The 23691-nt window shown below is 41.2% G+C and overlaps 2 protein-coding genes and 1 long non-coding RNA gene across 15 annotated transcripts in view, besides 3 other annotated features; 1 reads left to right on the top strand and 2 right to left on the bottom strand.

Moving 5' to 3' along the window:
- The window catches only part of PLEKHA8 (pleckstrin homology domain containing A8), a 102072-nt gene extending 101068 nt beyond the window's left edge, over positions 1 to 1004 (bottom strand). For all 10 annotated transcript variants that reach the window (NM_001350973.2, NM_001350974.2, NM_001350975.2 and 7 more), the window contains exon 1: positions 614 to 1004. In NM_001350973.2, the coding sequence (NP_001337902.1) occupies positions 614 to 653 (40 nt within the window). In that variant the 5' untranslated portion in view covers positions 654 to 1004. The remainder of the gene's footprint in view (positions 1 to 613) is intronic.
- Positions 283 to 402: an enhancer, noted in NCBI's record as "active region_25804". NCBI's record gives its function as "activates an Ori minimal core promoter by ATAC-STARR-seq in GM12878 lymphoblastoid cells {active_cell/tissue: GM12878}" and the evidence as "EXISTENCE:reporter gene assay evidence [ECO:0000049][PMID:35858748]".
- Positions 563 to 892: a silencer, noted in NCBI's record as "silent region_18053". NCBI's record gives its function as "represses an Ori minimal core promoter by ATAC-STARR-seq in GM12878 lymphoblastoid cells {active_cell/tissue: GM12878}" and the evidence as "EXISTENCE:reporter gene assay evidence [ECO:0000049][PMID:35858748]".
- Positions 2175 to 23691, bottom strand: part of FKBP14-AS1 (FKBP14 antisense RNA 1) — a 38586-nt gene continuing 17069 nt past the window's right edge. Inside the window, exons 2-3 of the long non-coding RNA NR_187577.1 lie at positions 21039 to 21188; positions 2175 to 4029 (exon numbers count right to left, since the gene is read on the bottom strand). This is a non-coding gene — a long non-coding RNA (FKBP14 antisense RNA 1). The remainder of the gene's footprint in view (positions 4030 to 21038; positions 21189 to 23691) is intronic.
- Positions 2309 to 2458: an enhancer, noted in NCBI's record as "active region_25803". NCBI's record gives its function as "activates an Ori minimal core promoter by ATAC-STARR-seq in GM12878 lymphoblastoid cells {active_cell/tissue: GM12878}" and the evidence as "EXISTENCE:reporter gene assay evidence [ECO:0000049][PMID:35858748]".
- FKBP14 (FKBP prolyl isomerase 14) lies at positions 2714 to 23493 on the top strand. Of its 4 annotated transcripts, NR_046478.2 has the most exons (5): positions 2714 to 3104; positions 6600 to 6751; positions 9112 to 9203; positions 10293 to 10420; positions 14523 to 18829. NR_046478.2 is itself a non-coding variant. In XM_047420550.1 (4 exons), the coding sequence occupies exons 1-4, from the start codon at positions 2908 to 2910 to the stop codon at positions 23089 to 23091; spliced, it is 651 nt and encodes a 216-aa protein (XP_047276506.1). In that variant the 5' UTR covers positions 2714 to 2907; the 3' UTR covers positions 23092 to 23493. The 4 variants fall into 4 exon arrangements, 2 of the variants coding, with proteins under 2 accessions (XP_047276506.1, NP_060416.1); XM_047420550.1 differs by lacking the exons at positions 9112 to 9203; positions 14523 to 18829 and adding an exon at positions 22918 to 23493; NM_017946.4 differs by lacking the exon at positions 9112 to 9203.

Here is a 23691-nt window from a genome sequence, read left to right as displayed (position 1 = left end):
CATTTAACGGTAATTTCTGAGTCTGTAAAACAAAAGGAAATGCTCAACGAGAAAATAAAAAACCTTGTGCAGAGCTTTGAAACTGTGGAGTTGGGACTCTTGACACCCTGGTGTGCACGCAGATGACTCTGAAGGTGACAAAGGGAAAGTGTTTGCACTGAGGACTTTGATAAAGGATCTTTCCGCTGTGGAATTCCAGGTTACTGCTGGCATTCTTTTGAAACCTTCCAACCTAGCTGCGAGCCAAGGGAGTACGGTTCCTTCGCCAAAATTCAAGAGATTCCCAGAGAACCCCACGGCGGGGCGTCTGCGCCTTCCTCCCGCTGACATCAAGAGCACCGTGCCTTTCAAGTCACCCAAAATCTCAGTCTTTGTAGCCTTCCTTGAAGCGAAAGGGCAGCCACAGCTCTTAACCAACCCCAAGAGAGGGCCGTGTCGTCCTGCACGGCGACACGGTCCCGTGAGAGAACTGCTTTGGGAAATACTCCCGCTCCGCGCTGGCCTCAGGAAAGGGCCGTGACCCCCTCCCTAAGACGGGTCCAGACACCGCCCTCCAGCCGCGCAGACAAAGGACCGGCCCCCGGCGCGCCCCCGGCCCGGCACGGCCACTCACCGCTCAGATAGTTGGTCCACTTGTACAGCACCCCCTCCATGGCGCCCGCGGCCACTCGGCCCACGCCCGCCGGCCCCCTCACTGCCCCAGGCCCCAAGAGGCGAGGAGCACCAGCAGCAGGGCCATCGCCTGGCGCTGCCCAGACGCCCACTCCCGGCGCCCGGGCCCGGTGTGGGGACGCCCGGCCCGCCTCACATCCTCGGCCCGGGGGCGGGGTCACTGCGGCGGCCTCGGCGCTTGAAGCCCAGCCAGCCGGTGAACCCGTGGGGCGAAGCCGGCACGCTGTTCACAAGGAGGCCCGGGTCCGGGCCCTACGTGGGTCGGAGGGGCAGCCGAAGCCTCCAAAGTGCGGCGAACGAGCTGCCGGTCGCAGGCGGCGCCACGGCGCACCACCTGAACCCTCGACTCGCCGGGCCCGGGACGCGCTCGCGCATGCCCAGGGCGCCGCTCGCGCGCCCCTTCCCAAAATCCACTCCGGGATTTCGCGGCAGCGGCGGCGGGGCGGAGTTTGCGGGAACGGCCCGCAGGGAAATTGAGTCCCGAGACGCGGACTGCGGACTAGGCGACGGGAGGAGGGAGGCCCCTGAGACAAGTGTGGAGCGCAGTTCTGACTGTAAATGGTGCCCGCCGTTTGAGGGTCTACGTGACCTCTCACGATACCTCCTGAGTTCTAGTCCCTATTCTTGTTCCAAAGCTGCCTAATTGATCTCACACACTTGAGGTAACCAATAACAGGGCGTAAAGAGATTATTGGAATTTCAGGGTAGAATACTATGAGGCCAGTGTAAACAGATGTTGTCCAGACTCTAAGGTCTCACTATGGAAGTGTTGATCTACTGACCCGGAGCACTGACATCACCTAAGAGCTTGTTAGAAATGCAGAATCTTGCACCCACCCCAGACCTCCAGATCAAAATCTGCATTTTAAACAAGATCTTCAGGGGGATTCCTATGCACATAGAGTGCGGATATGCACTGTGTTAAGGTTATTAGACCAGAAAAAATGTTAACTACAGATTAAGTGGAAAGAGGAGGTGAGAAAAGACTACAATACGATTTAAATCGCTTTAAGTATATGTCACAGAAGCATGCACCAAAATATTAAGAGGATTGTTTGCGGCTGGTGGTGGTATCGGCGAGCTTTCTTTTTCTTTAAAGTTGCCTGATTTAGTAAATAAAAATGCAAAACCATTATTCGTTATGTATCTGAAATTCCAACTTGATTCGACTCCCCAATATTATCTGGAAATCTTACTTTAGTGCTTTCCAATTTCTTCCAAAATGACTTCAATGAACATGCATTACTTTTGAACTTAGGCAAAAAATGTAAAACTAGAAAATGTAAACTACGATGAGGCTGTGTAATTCGTAACCATGATTACCATTTCTTCTTTAAAGCGGAAGTCTGCAAGTCGAAACTCATTATTTACCCTGTAAGGTAACTTAAGGGATAAATTATTAGCAGCCATAACATGACGTGGTGCTGTGGAATGAATCAGACCTGGTTTGAAGGCAGAGCTCATTTGCTTCGGGGCCAAACAACCTTAAGCAGGACAGTTAATATCTCCTGGTGTAAATTTACTTCTCTTTTAAATGGGAAAAAAGAACCTGCCTTACTGGGTGTAGTGAGGTTCATGCAACGGGAACGCGCTTTGTGAACCCTCAAGCAGTATGTCAGTCTTTACAGTTTATAAGCAATAGCAAAATCCTAGGATTGTGGCATCTTGGGGGGCCGCTCTCCAACGGCGAGAGTAAACGAGTCTTTCCTGGAACCCCGAAGATTTCATAGGGCCCCGGGACTCTTCCTACGTCTCTCAGCAGGGTTCTTCACAGAGATAAATCAGCCGGAGGAGTTTCCGGTTGGCTCTGCGCCCCGCCCCTCTCCCAAAATCCACGCTGGTTGAATGCTGAAATCCACCGGGCTCTAGGACCACAAGGGATGATCCGCCGCTTGGCAGCTGCCCGGCTCTACCGGGCTGTAAATTCCATCGTTGCAGCGTCATTGGCTTGAGAGCTGCCTGAAGGACAGCACCAATAGCCAATGGGAGGCTGCTATTCCCAGGCGGCCGCGTTATAAGAGCCAGTCAGGCCGGCATTTGGGCTTAACTCTTTAAAGGTAGGTTCGTGACCCTTGAGAAAAGAGTTGGTGGTAAATGTGCCACGTCTTCTAAGAAGGGGGAGTCCTGAACTTGTCTGAAGCCCTTGTCCGTAAGCCTTGAACTACGTTCTTAAATCTATGAAGTCGAGGGACCTTTCGCTGCTTTTGTAGGGACTTCTTTCCTTGCTTCAGCAACATGAGGCTTTTCTTGTGGAACGCGGTCTTGACTCTGTTCGTCACTTCTTTGATTGGGGCTTTGATCCCTGAACCAGAAGTGAAAATTGAAGTTCTCCAGAAGCCATTCATCTGCCATCGCAAGACCAAAGGAGGGGATTTGATGTTGGTCCACTATGAAGGCTACTTAGAAAAGGACGGCTCCTTATTTCACTCCACGTAAGTAATTATGCCCCGCAGGTAAAATAGTAATTAAGAATCCACTCACTTATGCCAGCTCTCCAGCAGGAAAGGTGGCCTGTACCTGGTTTTGCCTCTTTTACAAAACCGAAATATCTTATTTCCTTCTTTGGGAAAGGAAATTGTTTAAAGCCAGTTTTATATAGCGAGCGAGGCCTTTGAAGGTCTTGTTGGAAACATGTGGTCTGGAAAAGGCTGTTAATTTTTTTTATTATACAAATTAGAACTAGAATCTTTGAAATATTGCAGAAATATATCTGGGTGTATAATTGGCCAATAAGTAGAAAAAGCCCAAAAGAATTCTCATATCTCAAACTCCATTTCTTAAAGAAAATGACTTGATTCCATTTTTAATGTGGTGTAGGTGATGTTCACCTAAAACTTTTCACAGCGACTTCAAAAGCAAACTACACTATCACTTATTTGCCTGTTGAAGGATATACTAATGCCGTTTCACTGACCTACTTCTTTTGTTCTGACGAATGGTATTTTGGTCAAGGCACAGGACCATGATTTCAGTCATTTGCTTCTTTCTAGAGAGTCAGACTTCATTGATGAGGTGGGTGTGGTTTTGGAAGTCTAGGTGAAGGATTTTCAGGTGGTTACACTATCATTTCTGTTCTATAAACGAAGAAATTGGAACATGGAAATGGTTTACAGCCTAATGATTTTCAATTAGGCATCGGTTCCATTCATTCCATTATGACAGTATTTAGTGAGCATTTCCTTGATGTTAAGCCATGTTCTGGGTGCTAGGAAGATTCAGAAATTTTGGCTTCTAATCATCTTCATCTATTCATTAGTCTGTCCATCTATCAAACTCTTATTGAATGGTCACAAGTCAGGTCCTGGAGACGCAAAGATGGCTAGAAGCAGGTTCTTGTCCTCTAACAGTATACACCATCTACAGGTGGGAGAAAGACAAGTAAATAATGCAATGATATAGGGTACAGAATATTCAAAGTGCTAGCAAAGCGTAACTGGGCCTGAAGTAGTTAGGCTCCATGGGGTGGGGAAAGGGAAAGACTTCCCAGAGACCATAATTGAAATGAACCTTGGAAGATGGGTGGAGGTTTCCAGGGGGAAAGTAGGGAAGGATGTTGTAGGTAGAGGGAATAACATGAATTAAAACAGTAAATCTTCATAGCCCATCCTCCACCTGATTTTCTAATAAACTGCCTTTACTGGGCATTCAGACCTGGTCTGTCTTGAGGGTTGGGGAAATGAATGGGGCTCTTCTCTAAACTGTTAGCCCTGGGAAAAAGTTCCAGAAAAATGGCTTGCCTTAGAATTCTCAACAGCCCTTTCTTCTTGTCAACTAGGTGAGTGCCACGGTGGATATTAAATGATGTGATTTGCATTTTGAAAATTCAGTTATATTGTTATTTTTAGTCTGATCTCTTTTAGACTCAGCCTGACTTCTTTCAGATTTCTGAACCAAAAACCTGTGCTGACTTTGGTGGTAGCCATGGAATATTATTTAGCAGTTTGCTACTAAGTTCTAATACCTGATGAGGGGACTGTTATCATGCAGCCTCCATGTAAATGGTCAGAAGCTGCTAACTGTAAACTTCATGAAGAAATACCATCAAATTGGCTGGGCGTGGTGGCTCACGCCTGTAATCCCAGCACTTTGGGAGGCCGAGGCAGGCAGATCGCGAGGTCAGGAGTTTGAGACCATCCTGGCCAACATGGTGAAACCCCGTCTCTACTAAAAATACAAAAGTTATCTGGGCGTGGTGGGCACCTGTAATCCCAGCTACTCAGGAGGCTGAGGCAGGAGAATCGCTTGAACCCAGGAGGCGGAGGCTGCAGTGAGCCAAGATTGCGCCGCTGCACTCCAGCCTGGGCAACAGAGCGAGACTCCGCTCTGAAGAAAAAGAAATACCATCAAATGATCAGTTTGTAAGCACGTTTGCCATCTCTAGAACCATAGCCTATGGGATAAATTGCTTAGCCCTAAGAAGAACTGTGCTAAAATTGTAGTCAGTGATGAGTAGTAGAATGTTTCCTGCTTCTTTTTTCATTTCTAGCCTTCCCAAATTTTCTACAGTTGGCATTTTGTTACTTTGATCATTGGGCAAAATTACAGGAAAAAATGGCATTACCCAGATTTAGTAACCATGGTACTCATGAAGCGTAGTACAGTGACTTCTTTTTCTCACCTACAAGATATCCTTGAATAGAATATTTTCCTTATTGCACTGAAAGGGAGCTAGGTAGGGATCAGGCATTACTCAGCCCTTAAGCCTCCCTGTATGTAGTTCGGCAGGTTGGTTTTCCTAGGCTAGACTCTCTTCAACTCATGAGCCAGGACATTCTATTTCCCTCGTCCCCAGTTGATAGGGTTCCGCTATGGCCCCACCCAATTCTCATCTTAAATTGTAGCTACCATAATCCCCACATGTTGTGGAAGGGACCTGGTGGGAGGTAATCGAATCATGAGGGCAGGTTTTTCCCATGCTGTTCTCCTTGTGATAGTAAATAAGTCTCACGAGATCTGATGGTTTTATAAAAGGCAGCTCCTCTGCACACTCATTCTTGCCTGCTACCATGTAAGACGTGCCTTTGCTCCTCCTTTGCCTTCCGCCATGATTGTGAGACCTCCCCAGCCATGTGGAACCGCGAGTCCATTAAACCTCCTTTTCTTTATAAGTTACCCAGTCTTGAATATTTCTTCATAGCAGTATGAAAATGGACTAACACACCAGTCCTTGAGGGGCTACTCTTCCAGACTTTCCTATATAGCCCCACTGTAGACCCCTGAGGAGGAAACTGGGCTAGGGTCTGAGTGGGGATTTAGGGATGAAAAGCAGCCTTTTCTACCCGTCAGAGCCATCAGCAGGCCATAGCTAAGGCAAGTTTGTAGGCAGGATATAAGACACTGTGCTTCTCACTCTTCATATCTGTGTGCATATGGACCCACATATGTTGGCAGTAAATTCTCCTTAGCCTTTCAATCTCCTTCCCAAACTCAGCCATTTTTCCATTATTTTCTCCTTGTTCTGCAACCTAGTGGCCTTCCTGGGACAACATAACTTTGTGATTAAGACCTTGAACTTTGGAGTTAGGTTTAAAGACTGGAACTTAACCTGTGTTTCCTCATCTGTGCAATGGGGTAGTAATGGTACTTATATTATAGACTTATTGTAAGGGTTAAGAGGCAAAAAATAAAATAAAATTTAGAATAATTCCTGGTATACAACAAATGTTCAAATGGTTGTTGTTTTTATTATTTCCTCTGTCTTTCTTAAGCCCAGTCAAGTATGTGAAATTTGCATCAAGAAAGATGGGCAGTGAATTGAATTCCTATAAACTTGACTTGGAGGTGTGTGTGTATGTGTGCAAATACAGAATTGCTGTATTTATAAATTTTTAAACTAATAAACTTAACCACTTACTGGTGGGAAAATGCACTAAAGAAAATTTTTTAGAGTTAATAAGGAGTTCTAATGTGTTTTATTTCTATCATAGTCACAAACATAACAATGGTCAGCCCATTTGGTTTACCCTGGGCATCCTGGAGGCTCTCAAAGGTTGGGACCAGGGCTTGAAAGGAATGTGTGTAGGAGAGAAGAGAAAGCTCATCATTCCTCCTGCTCTGGGCTATGGAAAAGAAGGAAAAGGTAATAGTATTTCTGTATTTTTCTTACTATAGCACTAGAGTTGTTCTCTGGATTAGGAGACAGAAGTTAGAGTCACTATAACTTTTTTTTTTCCCCTGGAAGTTAATAGGGGGTATGTATTCCTTTAGCAACTGTATTATGTCTTGAGTATCAATTGAAATGGCCAGTTTAAGGCCGTAATGTCTAAATGGGCAACTATGCTAACAATAAAAAAAGAACATTGAGGTCTATTAATACTGTTCACAAATATGGTGGGTTGTTTTAATTGTGATAAAATATACATAAAATTTTTCATTTGAACCATTTTTAAGTACACAGTTCAGTGGCATTAAATACATTCATGTTATTGTGGAACCATCACCACTATCCATCTTCAGAATGTTCTCATCTTCCCAAACTGAAACTCACCAATTTACTTTAACAATGCAGAGAGAAAGATCCATTAACGTAAGTGTTTGGATGAGTTGAACATGTGAAATATAGATTATTAAAGTATTGAATGCATTTTAGATGTGGGTTATATATGGGTTGTACTTCATGAATATTAAGTCTCCCACAGCAAACTGGGAGTTCTTTTCATTCCCGTTTTTAAATTTATTTATAAAGTTTTTAACAATGTATTTAAAAAAAATCATAGAGTGACATGAAATGAATTTAATTCTCCCTGTGTCACAAAGCAGAAGCAAGCTGGCTAGCTGGTCCGGACAGCTTTTGTACTAGTTTTTCAGGGCAGACACATATCCTGCTGTTCAAGTGAGAACCCCTGCAACTTTCCAAAGAGCTGCTTTGTGATATATATCAAGAGGTCTGGGCCAGGCATGGTGGCTCACACCTGTAATCCCAGCACTTTGGGAGGCCAAGGAGGGTGGATCACTTGAGGTCAGGAGTTTGAGACCGACGTGGCCAACATGGTGAAACCCTGTCTCTACTAAAAATACAAAATTAGCTGAACGTAGTGGAGTGCACCTATAATCCCAGTTACTTAGGAGGCTGAGGCAGGAGAATTGCTTGAACATGTGAGGCAGAGGTTGCAATGAGCCAAGAACGTGCCACTATACTCCAGCCTGGGGGACAGAGCCAAACTCCATCTCAAAAAAAAAAAAAGAGGTCTGAAGATGTCTATATGCATTTATTCTATAATTCCTTCAAACCTAAGGGAATAATTAGATATCAGGAAAAAAATTTGTGAACAGGGATGTCCATAATTGCATTGTTTCTAAGCAAAAAATTGGAACTGTCGTAAGTGGTATACTGGTAAGAATTTAGCTAAATAAAATATGGCCCAGTTATTTAAAATGGCATTTCCAAAGAGTTTAAAAATTATATCTGAAATGCATGAGATACAGTATTATATATAAAAGTAGAAAATAAACCTATAGTATATATGATAGTAAATATAGGAAAAGGTACATATACATAGAAAGTTAATCATAAGGAAATAAATAAGAATGTTAAAAATGGACTGTGATACTGGGAATCATATTTATTTCTGGTTTTATCATCCAAGTATGTGCTCTACAATGAGCATGTATTACTTACATAATGAAGAAAAAAAAGTTTAAGTAGTCATCAGAACCAGACAGACAACTACTCTGATATAGTATAAATATAGACTTCATAGCATCCTGAAGTCTAAGGTTAACCACTGACAAAAGTGAGGAGTCAGGATTCACAGCCCATTTCCTGAGAAGGAAAATAGATGCCATATGGCAAGCATTATATATTCCAAAATATACAAATCTATACAAATCTTGTTCATAGGATAAGATTAACTAACCAAATTCAATTCTTCTTTTAGTCATAATCCTCTTTAGAGAAGAAAACCAAGTATCTAGAAAATTTTTTCTGATGCTGAGAATGTTTTCATTTTATCTTTATTGTCTCACCTTTAATATTTACATACAGTAGTTCCCCTTTACCTGTGGTTTCACTTTCTACCGTTTTAGTTACCTGTGGTCAACTGCAGTCTGAAAATATTAAGGTATTTTGAGAATGAGAGACAGATTGCATTCATATAACTTTTATTATGATATGTTGTTGTAATTGTTCTATTTTATTATTTTTAATCTGTTACTATGACTATTTTATAAATTAAACTTTATCACAGATATGCATGTATAGGAAAAAGCATTGTATGTATGGGGTTTGGTACTATCCATGGTTTCAGGCATCTAATGGGATTCTTGGGACATATCCCAGTGGGGACTACTGTACGTTGTATTAGTCCATTACTCTTTCTCATACTATATTTAACTCAAGTTTACTTCACAATAAGTAGAGATCTAAATTTGAGTCATTTCCTTCAAACTGAATGCCATGAAACTAATTTTTCTAATCTGTATTTAACACTAATTTTGTAGTCTTTTAGTACATGCTTGCATGCCTCTTTTGGAAAGATACCAGTTTTATCAACAACCTAGCGCATGTCACATCTCTGTCTAGATCTGAAATGGTAAGCTTCAGCACACTTTATAAGTCTTCTCTTTGGAATTTATGAATGTTCTTTCATGGAAATATGTGGGATGGGGGGAGGATGACTAAGAAATATTTAACATGTTTACACAGACCTGTATGTTAAATATAGTTATAAGGAAACAAGTTTGAGAAAAACAATTGTCCATACTCCACAGATGGGTGTGTTTGTTTGTTTGTTTGTTTGTTTCAGGTTCCTGGGATTTTAACAAAGCTCTTTTCACTTTTAAAGATTTTTAATTTCCCTTCTCAGAAATTCATTTTAATTTCTCCCCTCCCATGAAATGTCTTCAACATATATATAATGTTCTATATCAGAGGTAGTGTTTCCTAACTTTCTGAAATTGTTAAACCTTCCTGCATTATTTTTAAAGCCTGTGAGAAAATTATACCTCAATAACATGTATTGAGAGTTTACTATTTGTCAAGTTTAATGCTAAGTATTTTGCATGGATTTTTCTCCCTTTATCCTCCCAACAGACTCCTGAGGAGGAAATTTATTATCTGCATTTTATAGATGAGGAAATTGAGGCTTAGAGATGGGCAAATGTAAACTTCAGCCTCAGACAGTGTGACACCAGAGCTTACTCAATTATATGGGTAGAAATGCCTTCTAGTGGTAGAAATGGCAATACTGTATGTATTTCTAGGTCAGGACTTTCTGACCAAAAAGTTAGTTTATTACTTTTAATATACTTAACTCCGAATTATCTAAAACCCTTCAAGTCCTTCTTGACATATAATATGTAATATATTAATTATATTAGAAATGTAATACCTAAGCCATTAGGTACATCTCTATGTATGTATATGCATTGTGTGTATGTGTATTTACATTTTAATTGCTAAGCCAAAGATAGAATGCTTTTGCTCTGCTAGTGTATATTATTTCTTCTTTTACTCTATTCTATTCGAGTAAAATATAATATACATAATTTTCATCATATATGACAATCTTAGGAAGGCTCTTTAATTCAGTTAAAAAAAATACTTTGTCCATTACCATAAATTTTCTATTATTAAAACTTTTGGCTCTTTTAAAACTTTCTGCCTTCTTTCCTCACGTCAGGTAAAATTCCCCCAGAAAGTACACTGATATTTAATATTGATCTCCTGGAGATTCGAAATGGACCAAGATCCCATGAATCATTCCAAGAAATGGATCTTAATGATGACTGGAAACTCTCTAAAGATGAGGTGACCTTTCCTTCTTCCTACTCCTCTTTCTACTTTTCTTTGGTTGTTTGGGGTTTTGTTTTGTTTTGTTTTTGTAACTCACTTTTTAAATGAATATGTGTATATTTCAAATCTACTTTTATTTAGGTAACATTTATTTATAAGTTTTCTTAAAATACTGATGCTTTGAAAGTGGACTTTTTCATAGTGAATCACTGTTTTGGAGAGAAATATATTAAGACTTAAAAAGCACCATTCAATCTTTTGCTTTTTTCTTCCCAATGCTTAGGGTTCACTGTATCTTATGCTTACCCTTGGGTCTTTGAAAGAACAATTTTGCCAAGACAGTTTCCATCTGGAGTTACTGTATAAGAAGCTAGCTGTCCTGAGAAATATCTCATGTGGACAGTTTCTGTTAAAACTGTAGACTGGCTGTTAAATACATCTTGTAGTGTTTTCCTGGCAATTAACAGCAAGCAACTTACATGCTCTGTTTTGTTCAGGTTGCCCCAGAGAAAAGAGACCCCAGCCTGGGTTTTACACAGCAGGGCTCCAGCCCCATCAAAATCTGAGCCTTTGGGTAAAGAGAAAGGAAGAAGAGGCTTCTCCTTATAATTCGGCCATTGCTACACATACCTGTCTTAGTCTGGCTGCTGCGGGGAAAGAAGTGGAGGGAGATATTTATTCCTGTTTTTTATCTACTCACACTCCATTCTGTCCTGACTGGTCAGATATCAAGTCCCTTTCTATGCTTTGATCAAATTCATTCTAATGGCCAGGAAATGATTAAGTCTTGAATAAGCCAAATTGTTACGAACCAGGGGTTCATGATCCACAGCCACTAAATTTATAACACCTCATAGTATTACCAGTCACATGCCTTTTTCTTCCATCCAAGATAAATTTTAATTCCCTTTCATTAAATAATTTTGAATATATAACACAGTCACATGGTTCAAAACAAAAATCTATTTATTTATTTATTTATTTATTTATTTATTTATTTATTTATTTATTTCCTGAGAGGGAGTCTTGCTCTGTTGCCCAGCCTGGAGTGCAGTGGCAAAATCTCGGCTCACTGCAACCTCTGCCTCCTGGGTTCAAGCAATTCTGCCTCAGCCTCCCAAGTAGCTGCACCATCATGCCTGGCTGATTTTTGTATTTTTAGTAGAGATGGGGTTTCACCATATTGGCCAGGCTGGTCTCAAACTCCTGACCTCGTGATCTGCCCACCTCGGCCTTCCAAAGTGCTGGGATTACAGACGTGAACCACTGTGCCCAGCAGAAAGATATTTATTTAAAAGTCTTAGCTGGGTGAGGTGGCTCACACTTGTAATCCTACCACTTTGGAAGGCTGAGGCAGGAAGATTGCTTGAGGCTGAGACTTCAAGACCAACCTGGCCAACATAGGAAGACTTTATCTCTATTATTTACTGTTTTTTTTTTTTTTAGACGGAATCTCACTCTGTTGCCAGGCTGGATTGCAGTGGTGCGATCTCAGCTCACTGCAGCCTCTGTGTCCCGGGTTCAAGCGATTCTCCTGCCTCGGCCTGCCAGGTAGCTGGGACTACAGGTGCACGCCACCATACCCAGCTAATTGTCGTATTTTTAATAGAGACAGGGTTTCACCATGTTGGCCAGGATGGTTTCAAGCTCCTGACTTTGTGATCCGCCTGCCTTGGCCTCCCAAAGTGCTGGGATTACAGGTGTGAGCTACCGCATCCGGCCTATTATTTACATATTTTTAAAAGTCTTTCTCCTACCTACATCCTCTTCTATTCTATTATCCCCACATCCAGTTTTATTAATTACTTTTTTCTTTCTTTCTGTTTTTTTTTTTGTAGAGATGAGGTCTCGCTATGTACAAGCATGCACCATTGCACCCGGCTTAGTTTTATTAGTTTCTAATATATCCTTTCAGTGTTTCTTTCTGCAAATCCAAATACATAGTCTTATTTCCCCCTTTCTTACACAAAAAGAAGCAAACTATACATGCTGTTTTGTCGTTTTGCTTTATTCACACAATATATCCTAGAAATACATTCTACATTAATCCATAGAGTTTAATGGATTAATGGATCTCTCCCCCACCCCTTTTTTTAACAACTGCATTAAATCACTTTAACTTAAAAATAAATATATACTATATGTGTACTTCTTGAAAGCTGGGGGAGAGAGGATTTGAAATTGCTGGTCTAAACAGAAGGAAGAGAGGTGATATAATTAAAACTGAAAATATAGGCTGATTTTCATTGTGGTGAATCTTGTGGGAAATTGAAAACAATATTTATATTTTTAAATATCTGAATGAAATGAAAATGGAGTCCGGGCATGGTGGCTCACACCTGTAATCCCAGCACTTTGGGAGGCCAAGGCAGGCAAATCTTCTGAGGTCAGGAGTTCGAGGCCAGCCTGGCCAACTTGGTGAAACCCTGTCTCTACTAAAAATACAAAAATTAGCCAGGCATGGTGGCAGGTGCCTGTAATCCCAGCTACTAGGGAGTCTGAGGCAGGTGAATCGCTTGAACCTGGGAGTTGGAAGTTGTAGTGGGCCGAGATCGTGCCACTATACTCCAGCCTGCGTGACAGAGCAAGACTCTATTTCAAAAAAAAAAGAAAAACAAAAAAACAAATGAAAATGGAAAATTGTAGTCTAGGCACTTATCAGACCTGACTTTCTGAGATTGAAAGGTTGTGATTAGACTCAATCTAATCACATGATCATAACCAAAACCCAAAAGACCCACTACTTGCAGACATTTATTCAAGTCAAAGATGCCACTATTTAATCTAGTTTTAAGAGAAGTGTCCATGGGGTGCAGTGGCTCATGCTTCTAATCCCAGCACTTTGGGAGGCTGAGGGGTTTAGATTGCTTGAGCCCAGGAGTTCAAGACCAGCCTGGGCAACATGGTGAAACCCCATCTCTACAAAAAATATAAAAGCCAGATGTGGTAGCACATGCCTGTAAGTCCCAGGTACGTGTGAGGCTGAGGTAGGAGGATTGCTTGAGCCTGGGAGGCAGAGGTTGCAGTGAGCTGAGATGGTGCCACTGCACTCCAGCCTGGGTGACAGAGCAAGATTCTGTCTAAAAGGCCGGGCGCGGTGGCTCACGCCTGTAATCCCAGCACTTTGGGAGGCCGAGGCGGGCAGATCACGAGGTCAGGAGATCGAGACCATCCTGGCTAACACGGTGAAACGCCGTCTCTACTAAAAATACAAAAAATTAGCTGGGCGTGGTGGCGGGCGCCTGTAGTCCCAGCTACTCGGGAGGCTGAGGCAGGAGAATGGCGTGAACCCGGGAGGCGGAGCTTGCAGTGAGCCGAGATTGCGCCACTGCACTCCAGCCTGGGCAACAGAGTGAGACTCCGTCTCAAAAAAAAAAAAAAAAAGATTCTGTCTAAAAAAAGAAAAGAAATGCCTAGTATTTAGATTCAGATTAAGAACAAGTAGTATGCTCTCATTGGGTATTCTCCAATAATATAAGCCCTATATGAGGATTGTATACATGACATAAGCTTTATCTCTGCCTTTGAGCAATATATATATAGAGAGAGCTATATATATATATATATTTTTAATTTTTTAATTTTTTATTTTTTTGACAGAGTCTCACTCTGTTGCCCAGGCTGGAGGGCAGCAGCGCAATCTCGATTCACTGCAACCTCTGCCTTCCAGGTTCAAGCGATTCAACTGCCTCAGCCTCCTGAATAGCTGGGATTACAGACGCATGCCATCATGCCTGGCTAACTTTTTTTTGTATTTTTAGTGGAGATGGGCTTTCATTATGTCGGCCAGGCTGATCTCCAACTCCTGACCTCAAGCAATCTTCCCACTTGGGCCTCCCAAAGTGCTGGGATAACAGGCATGAGCCACCACACCTGGCCCTGCCTTTGAGCAATATTTTGTGTCTCCACTTTAGCAGTTTAGCAACAGTTTTTTTAAGGGAAAAAGTTTCTATTATTTTTTAATTATCATTAAAACTATGTCATAAAATGGCTGTTTAGAAGGTATTATATTTAGTTAATGAACTAAATATAATAACAGTCCATGTCTGTGATATTGATTGGCTCAATGTGGGTATCTTATGAATCCAAGTTATTAATGGGATCTGTTATTTTGTAGGTTAAAGCATATTTAAAGAAGGAGTTTGAAAAACATGGTGCGGTGGTGAATGAAAGTCATCATGATGCTTTGGTGGAGGATATTTTTGATAAAGAAGATGAAGACAAAGATGGGTTTATATCTGCCAGAGAATTTACATATAAACACGATGAGTTATAGAGATACATCTACCCTTTTAATATAGCACTCATCTTTCAAGAGAGGGCAGTCATCTTTAAAGAACATTTTATTTTTATACAATGTTCTTTCTTGCTTTGTTTTTTATTTTTATATATTTTTTCTGACTCCTATTTAAAGAACCCCTTAGGTTTCTAAGTACCCATTTCTTTCTGATAAGTTATTGGGAAGAAAAAGCTAATTGGTCTTTGAATAGAAGACTTCTGGACAATTTTTCACTTTCACAGATATGAAGCTTTGTTTTACTTTCTCACTTATAAATTTAAAATGTTGCAACTGGGAATATACCACGACATGAGACCAGGTTATAGCACAAATTAGCACCCTATATTTCTGCTTCCCTCTATTTTCTCCAAGTTAGAGGTCAACATTTGAAAAGCCTTTTGCAATAGCCCAAGGCTTGCTATTTTCATGTTATAATGAAATAGTTTATGTGTAACTGGCTCTGAGTCTCTGCTTGAGGACCAGAGGAAAATGGTTGTTGGACCTGACTTGTTAATGGCTACTGCTTTACTAAGGAGATGTGCAATGCTGAAGTTAGAAACAAGGTTAATAGCCAGGCATGGTGGCTCATGCCTGTAATCCCAGCACTTTGGGAGGCTGAGGCGGGCGGATCACCTGAGGTTGGGAGTTCGAGACCAGCCTGACCAACACGGAGAAACCCTATCTCTACTAAAAATACAAAAGTAGCCGGGCGTGGTGATGCGTGCCTGTAATCCCAGCTACCCAGGAAGGCTGAGGCGGCAGAATCACTTGAACCCGGAGGCGGAGGTTGCGGTAAGCCGAGATCACCTCCAGCCTGGACACTCTGTCTCGAAAAAAAGAAAAGAAACACGGTTAATAACATATAAATATGTATGCATTGAGACATGCTACCTAGGACTTAAGCTGATGAAGCTTGGCTCCTAGTGATTGGTGGCCTATTATGATAAATAGGACAAATCATTTATGTGTGAGTTTCTTTGTAATAAAATGTATCAATATGTTATAGATGAGGTAGAAAGTTATATTTATATTCAATATTTACTTCTTAAGGCTAGCGGAATATCCTTCCTGGTTCTTTAATGGGTAGTCTATAGTATATTATACTACAATAACATTGTATCATAAGATAAAGTAGTAAACCAGTCTACATTTTCCCATTTCTGTCTCATCAAAAACTGAAGTTAGCTGGGTGTGGTGGCTCATGCCTGTAATCCCAGCACTTTGGGGGCCAAGGAGGGTGGATCACTTGAGATCAGGAGTTCAAGACCAGCCTGGCCAACATGGTGAAACCTTGTCTCTACTAAAAATACAAAAATTAGCCAGGCGTGGTGGTGCACACCTGTAGTCCCAGCTACTCGGGAGGCTGAGACAGGAGATTTGCTTGAACCCGGGAGGCGGAGGTTGCAGTGAGCCAAGATTGTGCCACTGCACTCCAGCCTGGGTGACAGAGCAAGACTCCATCTCAAAAAAAAAAAAAGAAGCAGACCTACAGCAGCTACTATTGAATAAATACCTATCCTGGATTTTAAAAAAGAAAAAAATATATATAATTTTATTTTAAATTGGCTTTTATCTTTAATTCTTTTTTTTAAAGTTATCAAATCTTCATTTTCTAAGAGTAGCCCTTTATAGTGTACAAAATGATATTAAGTGCATTATTATCTTCGCTTTTCATGGCTCTGAGTCATAAAACAAGCTGGTGGATCTCACTGTACCTAATTTATAGACGAGGAAATTGTCATTCAAAAAGATTGACTGTTATGCCCAGGGTCAGCACTAACCTGCAGAACCAGTATTCAGTCCCCAAGTTCAGTGTCTTCTACTGCCCTCTACTAATGAAAAGTGAAAATTTCCCTGGGGTCTAATTCTCTCTTCAGTTTGCTGTGCCGTTGTTTATCTTTGAGTCTTCATTCTCTGAAGATGGCTTTCTGCCTGTTTCTGGTACATTAGAATTCTCACTATGATATAGAAATGGCTTCAGTTTCATAGCATAATCTTGCAGTTAGCTCTGAATTGCCTCAAAAACCCTGAACAACGCGAGGTTCCAGATGTGTTTTACTTCTTTCATTCATATTTACCCCCATTTGTTGTTTAAAAAGAATTATGAACAATTATTACATCATATGTAGACCACTTTCACTGATTATATGTTGACATTTTCCTCAGTAAAACATAAAGTTCTTAACAAGACTATACTGTAACACCTTTCTCCAACAAAATCAGCTGTATGTTGAAAACTATTAAGTCATTGCTAATGTTTTAAGCCATAATACAGACAGCCTTATACTCTATGATGGGAGAAGGGAAAGTAGTTTGTCCGATGGTGCTACTCTGTATAAACATTACTGATGCTATCTATAGTAGGGCAAGAAAAGTAAAAAGAGTTTTGATTATTCAGGCAGCATTTTTAAAAACCTGTGAATTTGTATCAGTTCTCATCTAAACATTTGGACACAAGTATAAAATGAAAACATATGCACAAGTTATGGTTTTTAAGTTATCTGCTCTTTTTTTTGGTTTCACTGTACCTTTGTACTCTTCTATTAGTGGGAATAATCAGACATGAACTGTGACTTCACATGTACAGTCATACCTCACTTAATGATGGAGATGCACTCTGAGAAATGTCTAATTAGGTTATTTCATCGTTGTGGGAACATCATAGAGTGTACTTACACAAACCTAGATAGTGTAGCCTGCTACACATGTAGGACATGTATATAGCCTATTGCTCCTAGGCTACAGCATGTTGCTGTTCTGAATCATGTAGGCAATTGTAACACAATGGCAAGTGTCTGTTTATTCAAACATCTAAACACAGAAAAGATACTACAACAATAACAATATGGTATAAAAGATTTTGTAAAAAATCTGGTCAGGTGCAGTGGTTCACGCCTGTAATCCTAGCACTTTGGGAGGCTGCCTCAGCAGGTGGATTGCTTGAGCCCAGAAGCTCAAGACCAGCCTGGGCAACATGGCGAAACCCCGTCTCTGCTAAAAGTACAAAAGCTGAGGTTGGAGGATCACCTGAGCCTGGCAAGGTCAAGGCTGCAGTGAGCCATGATCATACCACTGCACTCCAGCCTGGGTGACAGAGTGACTCCCCATCTAAAAAAAAAAATATATATATATATATATACTATATATATATATATACCATATATATGGTATATATATATATAGTATATATATATATGGTGTGTGTATATATATATATATGGTATACCTGTATAGGGCACTTACTAACGGAGCTTACAGAACTGGAAGTTGCTCTGGATGAGTCAGTGGTGAGTGAATGTAAAGGCCTAGGACATTACTGTACACTACTGTAGACTTTATAAACACCGTACACTTAGGTGACACTAAAATTTATAAAAAATGTTTTTCTTCTGGTTGGGCATGGTGCCTTATGCCTATAATCCCAGCATTATGGGAGGCCAAGGTGGGTGGATCACTCGAGGTCATGAGTTTGGGACCAGCCGGGCCAACATGGCTAAACCCCATCTCTACTAAAAATACGATAATTAGCCAGGTGTGGTGGCACATGCGTGTAGTCCCAGCTAATTGAGAGGCTGAGGCAGGAGAATTGCTTGAATCCAGGAGGTGGAGGTTGCAGTGAGCCAAGATCGAACCACTGCACTCTAGTCTGGGTGACAGAGGAGCAAGACTCTGTCTCAAAAAAAAAAATTCTATAATTTTTATAGAAATAATAAAAAACTAACCTTAGCTTACTGTAAATTTTCTAGTTTAGAAACTTATTTAAAAACAATTTTTGGACTCTTCTAGTAATAACGTAGCTTAAAACACACATTGCATAGCTGTACAAAAATATTTTCCTTATATCCTTATTATATAAGCTTTTATCTATTTAAATTTTGAATTTTTAAACTTTTTGGTCAAAAACCAAGACAAACACACTAGCCTAGGCCTATGCAGGGTCAGGATCAAGACATCCCTAGCAGGTGACAGGAATTTTTCAACTCCATTATAATCTGTGGGGCCACCATCATATATATATTGTACATTGACCGAAACATGGTTACATGACTATATAATTTGCGTCAATACTGCTCAGTGTGCCATATTTAAATTTACATGACTATATTGTGATATTCTTTTCAAAATAAAGTTTATTTGGGAGATAACTGATTTTGTGAAAAATTCTTCAACACCAATTTCCTCAGCAGTTGTACTGATTTTCTTACCTGTTATTCTAAATTTTATACCAAAAGTGAGGAAGATGGACAGGTAGTGGAAGGAGAGGGGTACAGTGACACTTTGTGCCTCTGATTATCTGCTCTGTATAGGTATATTTGTAAGAAAAGCTGTGGTTTGATTTAAATTCTTTTGAAATATGCATTAAGTCTTGACCTTTAGCATGATAGTTAATAGTTAATTCTTAGCACTGAAGAAAGTGTTTTTGGTTTTTCGAGGGGGAGGAGGGAGGGTGATGGTTATTATCACTGTTGTTTTGGTTTAGGGTTTTATCGTGTGTAGCAGGTGGACACACTGATTTATGCCTACTGCGTAAATCAGTGCTATAAAATACCCTCTGATTAAACGAAATGCGGGGTTGCCATGAAAATAACGAGAAACAATGATTTCTGATTCAGATGAAGAATCTAGCCATTTGGATCTTTCCTTATGGAAATGAATTTGTAGTTTTTATTTTATTAATGATGTGTGGGATATTGCTTATATTTCTTTTCTATTTTTTTTCTTTTGTTGTTGTTGAGACACAGTTTCGCTCTTGTTGCCAGGCTGGAGTCCAGTGGCGCGATCTTGGTTGACCACAACCTCCGCCTCCCAGGTTCAAGCGATTCTCCTGCTTCAGCCTCCCCAGTAGCTGGGATTACAGGCATGCGCCACCACGCCCAGCTAATTTTTTTTTTTTTTTTTTTTTTAGTAGAGACAGGGTTTCTCCATGTTGGTCAGGCTGGTCTCGAACTCCTGACCTCAGGTAATCCGCCTGCCTCAGCCTCCCAAAGGGCTGGGATTACAGGCGTGAGGGACCACGCCCGGCCTATTGCTTATATTTCTAATGCTACATAGAGGTCAGCATGCTATCTCTCCCCATTGAACTGTGTATATATGGGTGATTTCTCAGTGTTTGGAAATTGCAAGAGGAGAAAAAGGAATTTGGTGGCATGTTATGGGAAAATATATTCTCTTACCTTTTTATTAAAAAGGTAAATTATATGCCGAGTGTGGTGGCTCATGCCTGTACTCCCAGCACCTTGGGACGCTGAGGCGGGGGGATCACTTGAGGTCAGGTGCTCGAGACCAACCTGGTCAACATGGTGAAACCCTGTCTTTACTAAAAATGCAAAAATTAGCCAGGCATGGTGGTGCACGCATGTAATCCCAGCTACTAGGGAGGCTGAAGCAGGAGAATCACTTGAACCTGGGAGGTGGAGGTTGAAGTGAGCCAAAATTGTGCTACTACATTCCAGCTTGAGTGACAGAGCAAGATTCCATCTCAAAAAAAAAAAAAAATTATAGCACTATCGGATGCAGGGAGAAACAAAAAACTAAAAAAGTAAATTAGCATTATAATAATAACCCTGGGAAAATAAAAAAGAACTTCTTTTCCAGAGATGCAGAGCACTTGGACATAAGAATTTTTGTTTTTTGTTTCTTGCCCATTTTACCTTAAATTGAAATCTAAGATGTCAAAATGATTATAAACACATATGCCCATTTAAAAGCATTACTATGCATTACTATTATAGTATTTCTAGTACTTCTGTGTCTTAGCATCCTTAGCATTCTTTTTTTTTTTTTGGAGACGGATTCTCGCTCTGTCGCCCAGGATCTTGGCTCACTGCAAGCTCTGCCTCCTGGGTTCATGCCATTCTCCTGCCTCAGCCTGGGGCTACAGGCGCCTGCCACCACGCCCGGCTAATTTTTTTGTATTTTTAGTAGAGACGGGTTTCACCGTGTTAGCCAGGATGGTCTTGATCTCCTGACCTCGTGATCGGCCTGCCTTGGCCTCCCAAAGTGCTGGGATTACAGGCATGAGCCACCGCACCTGGCCGGCTTTTTTTTTTTTTTTAAATCTCAGCTCACTGCAACCTCCACCTCCCAGGTTCAAGTGATCTTCCCGCCTCAGCCTCCTGAGTAACTGGGACTACAGACACATGCCACCACACTCAGCTAATTTTTGTATTTTTAGTAGAGATTGGGTTTCACCATGTTGGTCAGGCTGGTCTCGAACTCCTGAACTCAGATGATCTCCCCACCTCGGCCTCCCACAGTGCTGGGATTACAGGCATGAGCCACCGTGCCTGGCCAGCATTCTTTTTAGTAGGTTTGTGTATTCCCTTTAGTACAATGAAATCAATACATTCTTACCTTAGGTTTGGAGCCTATTTGAAGATAAATGATTTTTTCTTTAAAATACTGTTTTGGTCTCCTTTACCTTTGCCTCATCTACCTCCAGCTCCTTGCTTTAGGCTGACTGCAGAGGGAGGCCGTAGCAAACATTGCTGTCAGGGCTCCGTCCTGAAGTAAAATGAGACACACACCTTAGTTTTTAAAGGTTGCAGAAATGTAGCGGTGATTCACATTTTAGTGCATGGCAGAATCACATGGGGTGTATTAAAAGTGCAGATTCCTGAATCCCCAAAGATTCTCATTAATTATTGGATTGGGCCTGTGAATCTGCAGTTTTTGTTGTTGTTGAGACAGAGTCCTGCTTTGTCACCCAGGCTAGAGTGCAGTGGCACAATCTCAGCTCACTGCAACCTCTGCCTCCCAGGTTCAAGCGATTCTCCTGCCTCAGCCTCCCAAGTAGCTGGGACTAAAGGTGCATGCCAGCGTGCCCGGCTAATTTTTGTATTTTTAGTAGAGTCCAGGTTTCACCATGTTGGCCAGACTGGTCTTGAACTCCTGACCTCAAGTGATCCCCCCACCTCAGCCTCCCAAAGTCCTGGGATTACAGGTGTGAGCCATCACGCTGGGCCTGAGTCTGCATTTTAACATGCTTGCTGGTGACCCTGATGCAGGTGGTCCAAAAACCTGAATTTGAGGGACAGATAACTTCACTACTTCCCTGCCCTTGTAAATACAGTCTCCTATATTTGTATTTTCTATGAACATTCTTTTATGTATTCCAGAAAGCATTGTGCATTGGGGCAACTAATTGTGCCTCAAAATGAGTATATAGGCCAAAAGATAAGTTGTGTAGAGATACCATCCTCCCCAGGGTTAGAATTTTTTATGGGCTGGGCGCAGTGGCTCACGCCTGTAATCCCAGCACTTTTGGAGGCCAAGGCGGGCAGATCACGAGGTCAAGAGATCGAGACCATCCTGGTCAACATGGTGAAACCCGGTCTCTACTAAAAATACAAAAATTAGCTGGGTGTGGTGGTGCATGCTTGTAGTCCCAGCTACTTGGGAGGCTGAGGCAGGAGAATTGCTTGAATTCAGGAGGTGGAGGTTGCAGTGAGCCGAGATCGCACCACTGCACTCCAGCCTGGTGACAGAGCGAGACTCTGTCTAAAAAAAAAAAAAAAAAACAAAGGAACTTTTTTTATGACTGAATTCTTTTTTTTAATTACTTCTTTTTATTAGACAGTTCAAATTAAGCTTGAAGAACAAGAAGCAATACAACTCAACTATTGAAATATAAAGTTGAGCTTAATTTATTCAACAAAATGTACCCAGTATATCAGTGTACAAAGCATCCTGCTGGGCTGGGCATCAGCCGTGGCACAGCGAACAAGACAGACTGACTCAACCCCCAGGGGGCTTACATTCTAATGCAGAAAGCAGAAAATTTCAGTTTGGATACATAATACAAATTATCAAAGCAAGGCACAAAGTATTTTAAAAATAAGGGGTTTGGGAGGCAAGGATCTGACCTACTCTATAGAAGGTCTCCTTGGGGAAGTAACAGTTGAGCCGATCTAAGGATGCTAGATAGTCACTAGGTCAGTGGAAAAAATCAGTGGTTCTCACTGTGGTCAGTGGGTTGTTGGTGATTTCATAATAATTGGGGACTATTCCCGGCAATGAGTGGATGCAGCCAGGGAGAATGATGTCCTGCAGCATGTGGGTTAGTGCCACACAACGAAGAATTATTCTGTACGCTGTACGACTGTATGACTGAATTCTTACAGCAAAAAGTTAATGGTCAATAAATACATTTTTGTGAACATCTTCCCTACCAGAAAAAGGAAAAGAGCACTGAACTTCCCTAAAATTACTCTTCTATATATATTTTTTTCAGAATTATCTGCAACACACCCCTGTAGAAGAATGTTCAAGCAGATTTAGGAGAAAAAAAAAAAATGACTCTTCTAGCCAGCCATGGTGGCTCACGCCTGTAATCTCAACACTTCCGGAGGCCAAGGAAGGAGGATCACTTGAGCTCAGGAGTTTGAGACCAGCCTGGGCAACATAGAGAGATCCCATCTTTACAAAAAAATTATTTAAAAAACTAGTCAGGCATCATGGTGTATGTCTGTAGTCCCAGCTACTCAGGAGGCTGAGATGGGAAGATTGCTTGAGCCCAGGAGTCTGAAGCTGAAGTGAGCTATGATCACAGCATTGCACTTCAGCCTGGGTAACAGAGGGAGACCCCTATCTTAAAAAAAAAAAAAAAAAAAAAAGACTATCCTAAATATATATGTATATATATGTGTGTATGTACATATGGTGTGTGTATGTCATGTATATAGTAGATACTGTGTATATACACTGTGTAATTTTGTACCAAAGATAGTAATTGAAATGCTCTCTGTAGTACATGGTACCCCTCTGTGAAAACTTGTCTTTGCCATGCAGTTAAATTTCTTTTTGTGCATTTGGTGTCTGTCATTCTGTACTTTGCCCACGTTTCTGTGTTTCACTCATAATTTAAGTAAAATTTCCTAGCAGTTCTCCATTTAAAACTAAGTATAATCTTTTCCTCCCTTCAACGTGGGAATGAAGTAGCTCATTTTGACATACTTAAGGAAAAGGATAAAAACAGTTGGAAGACTCCGGGAGATCTGCAACATGT

This window comes from Homo sapiens, chromosome 7 (assembly GCF_000001405.40).
Source record: "Homo sapiens chromosome 7, GRCh38.p14 Primary Assembly".
Taxonomy (NCBI): domain Eukaryota; kingdom Metazoa; phylum Chordata; class Mammalia; order Primates; family Hominidae; genus Homo; species Homo sapiens.
The sequence above is the reverse complement of the archived record's forward strand: the minus strand, read 5'-3'. Positions and strand labels throughout refer to the sequence as shown.

What these genes read in the sequence shown, in the direction of transcription:
- FKBP14 (XM_047420550.1), top strand. Translation starts at nt 2,908, where the DNA reads ATGAGGCTTTTCTTGTGGAACGCGGTCTTGACTCTGTTCGTCACTTCT. An exon ending in CTATGGAAAAGAAGGAAAAG is followed by an intron (nt 6,752 to 10,292) that starts GTAATAGTATTT and finishes TCCTCACGTCAG; the next exon opens with GTAAAATTCCCCCAGAAAGT. An exon ending in GGAAACTCTCTAAAGATGAG is followed by an intron (nt 10,421 to 22,917) that starts GTGACCTTTCCT and finishes TATTTTTTTCAG; the next exon opens with AATTATCTGCAACACACCCC.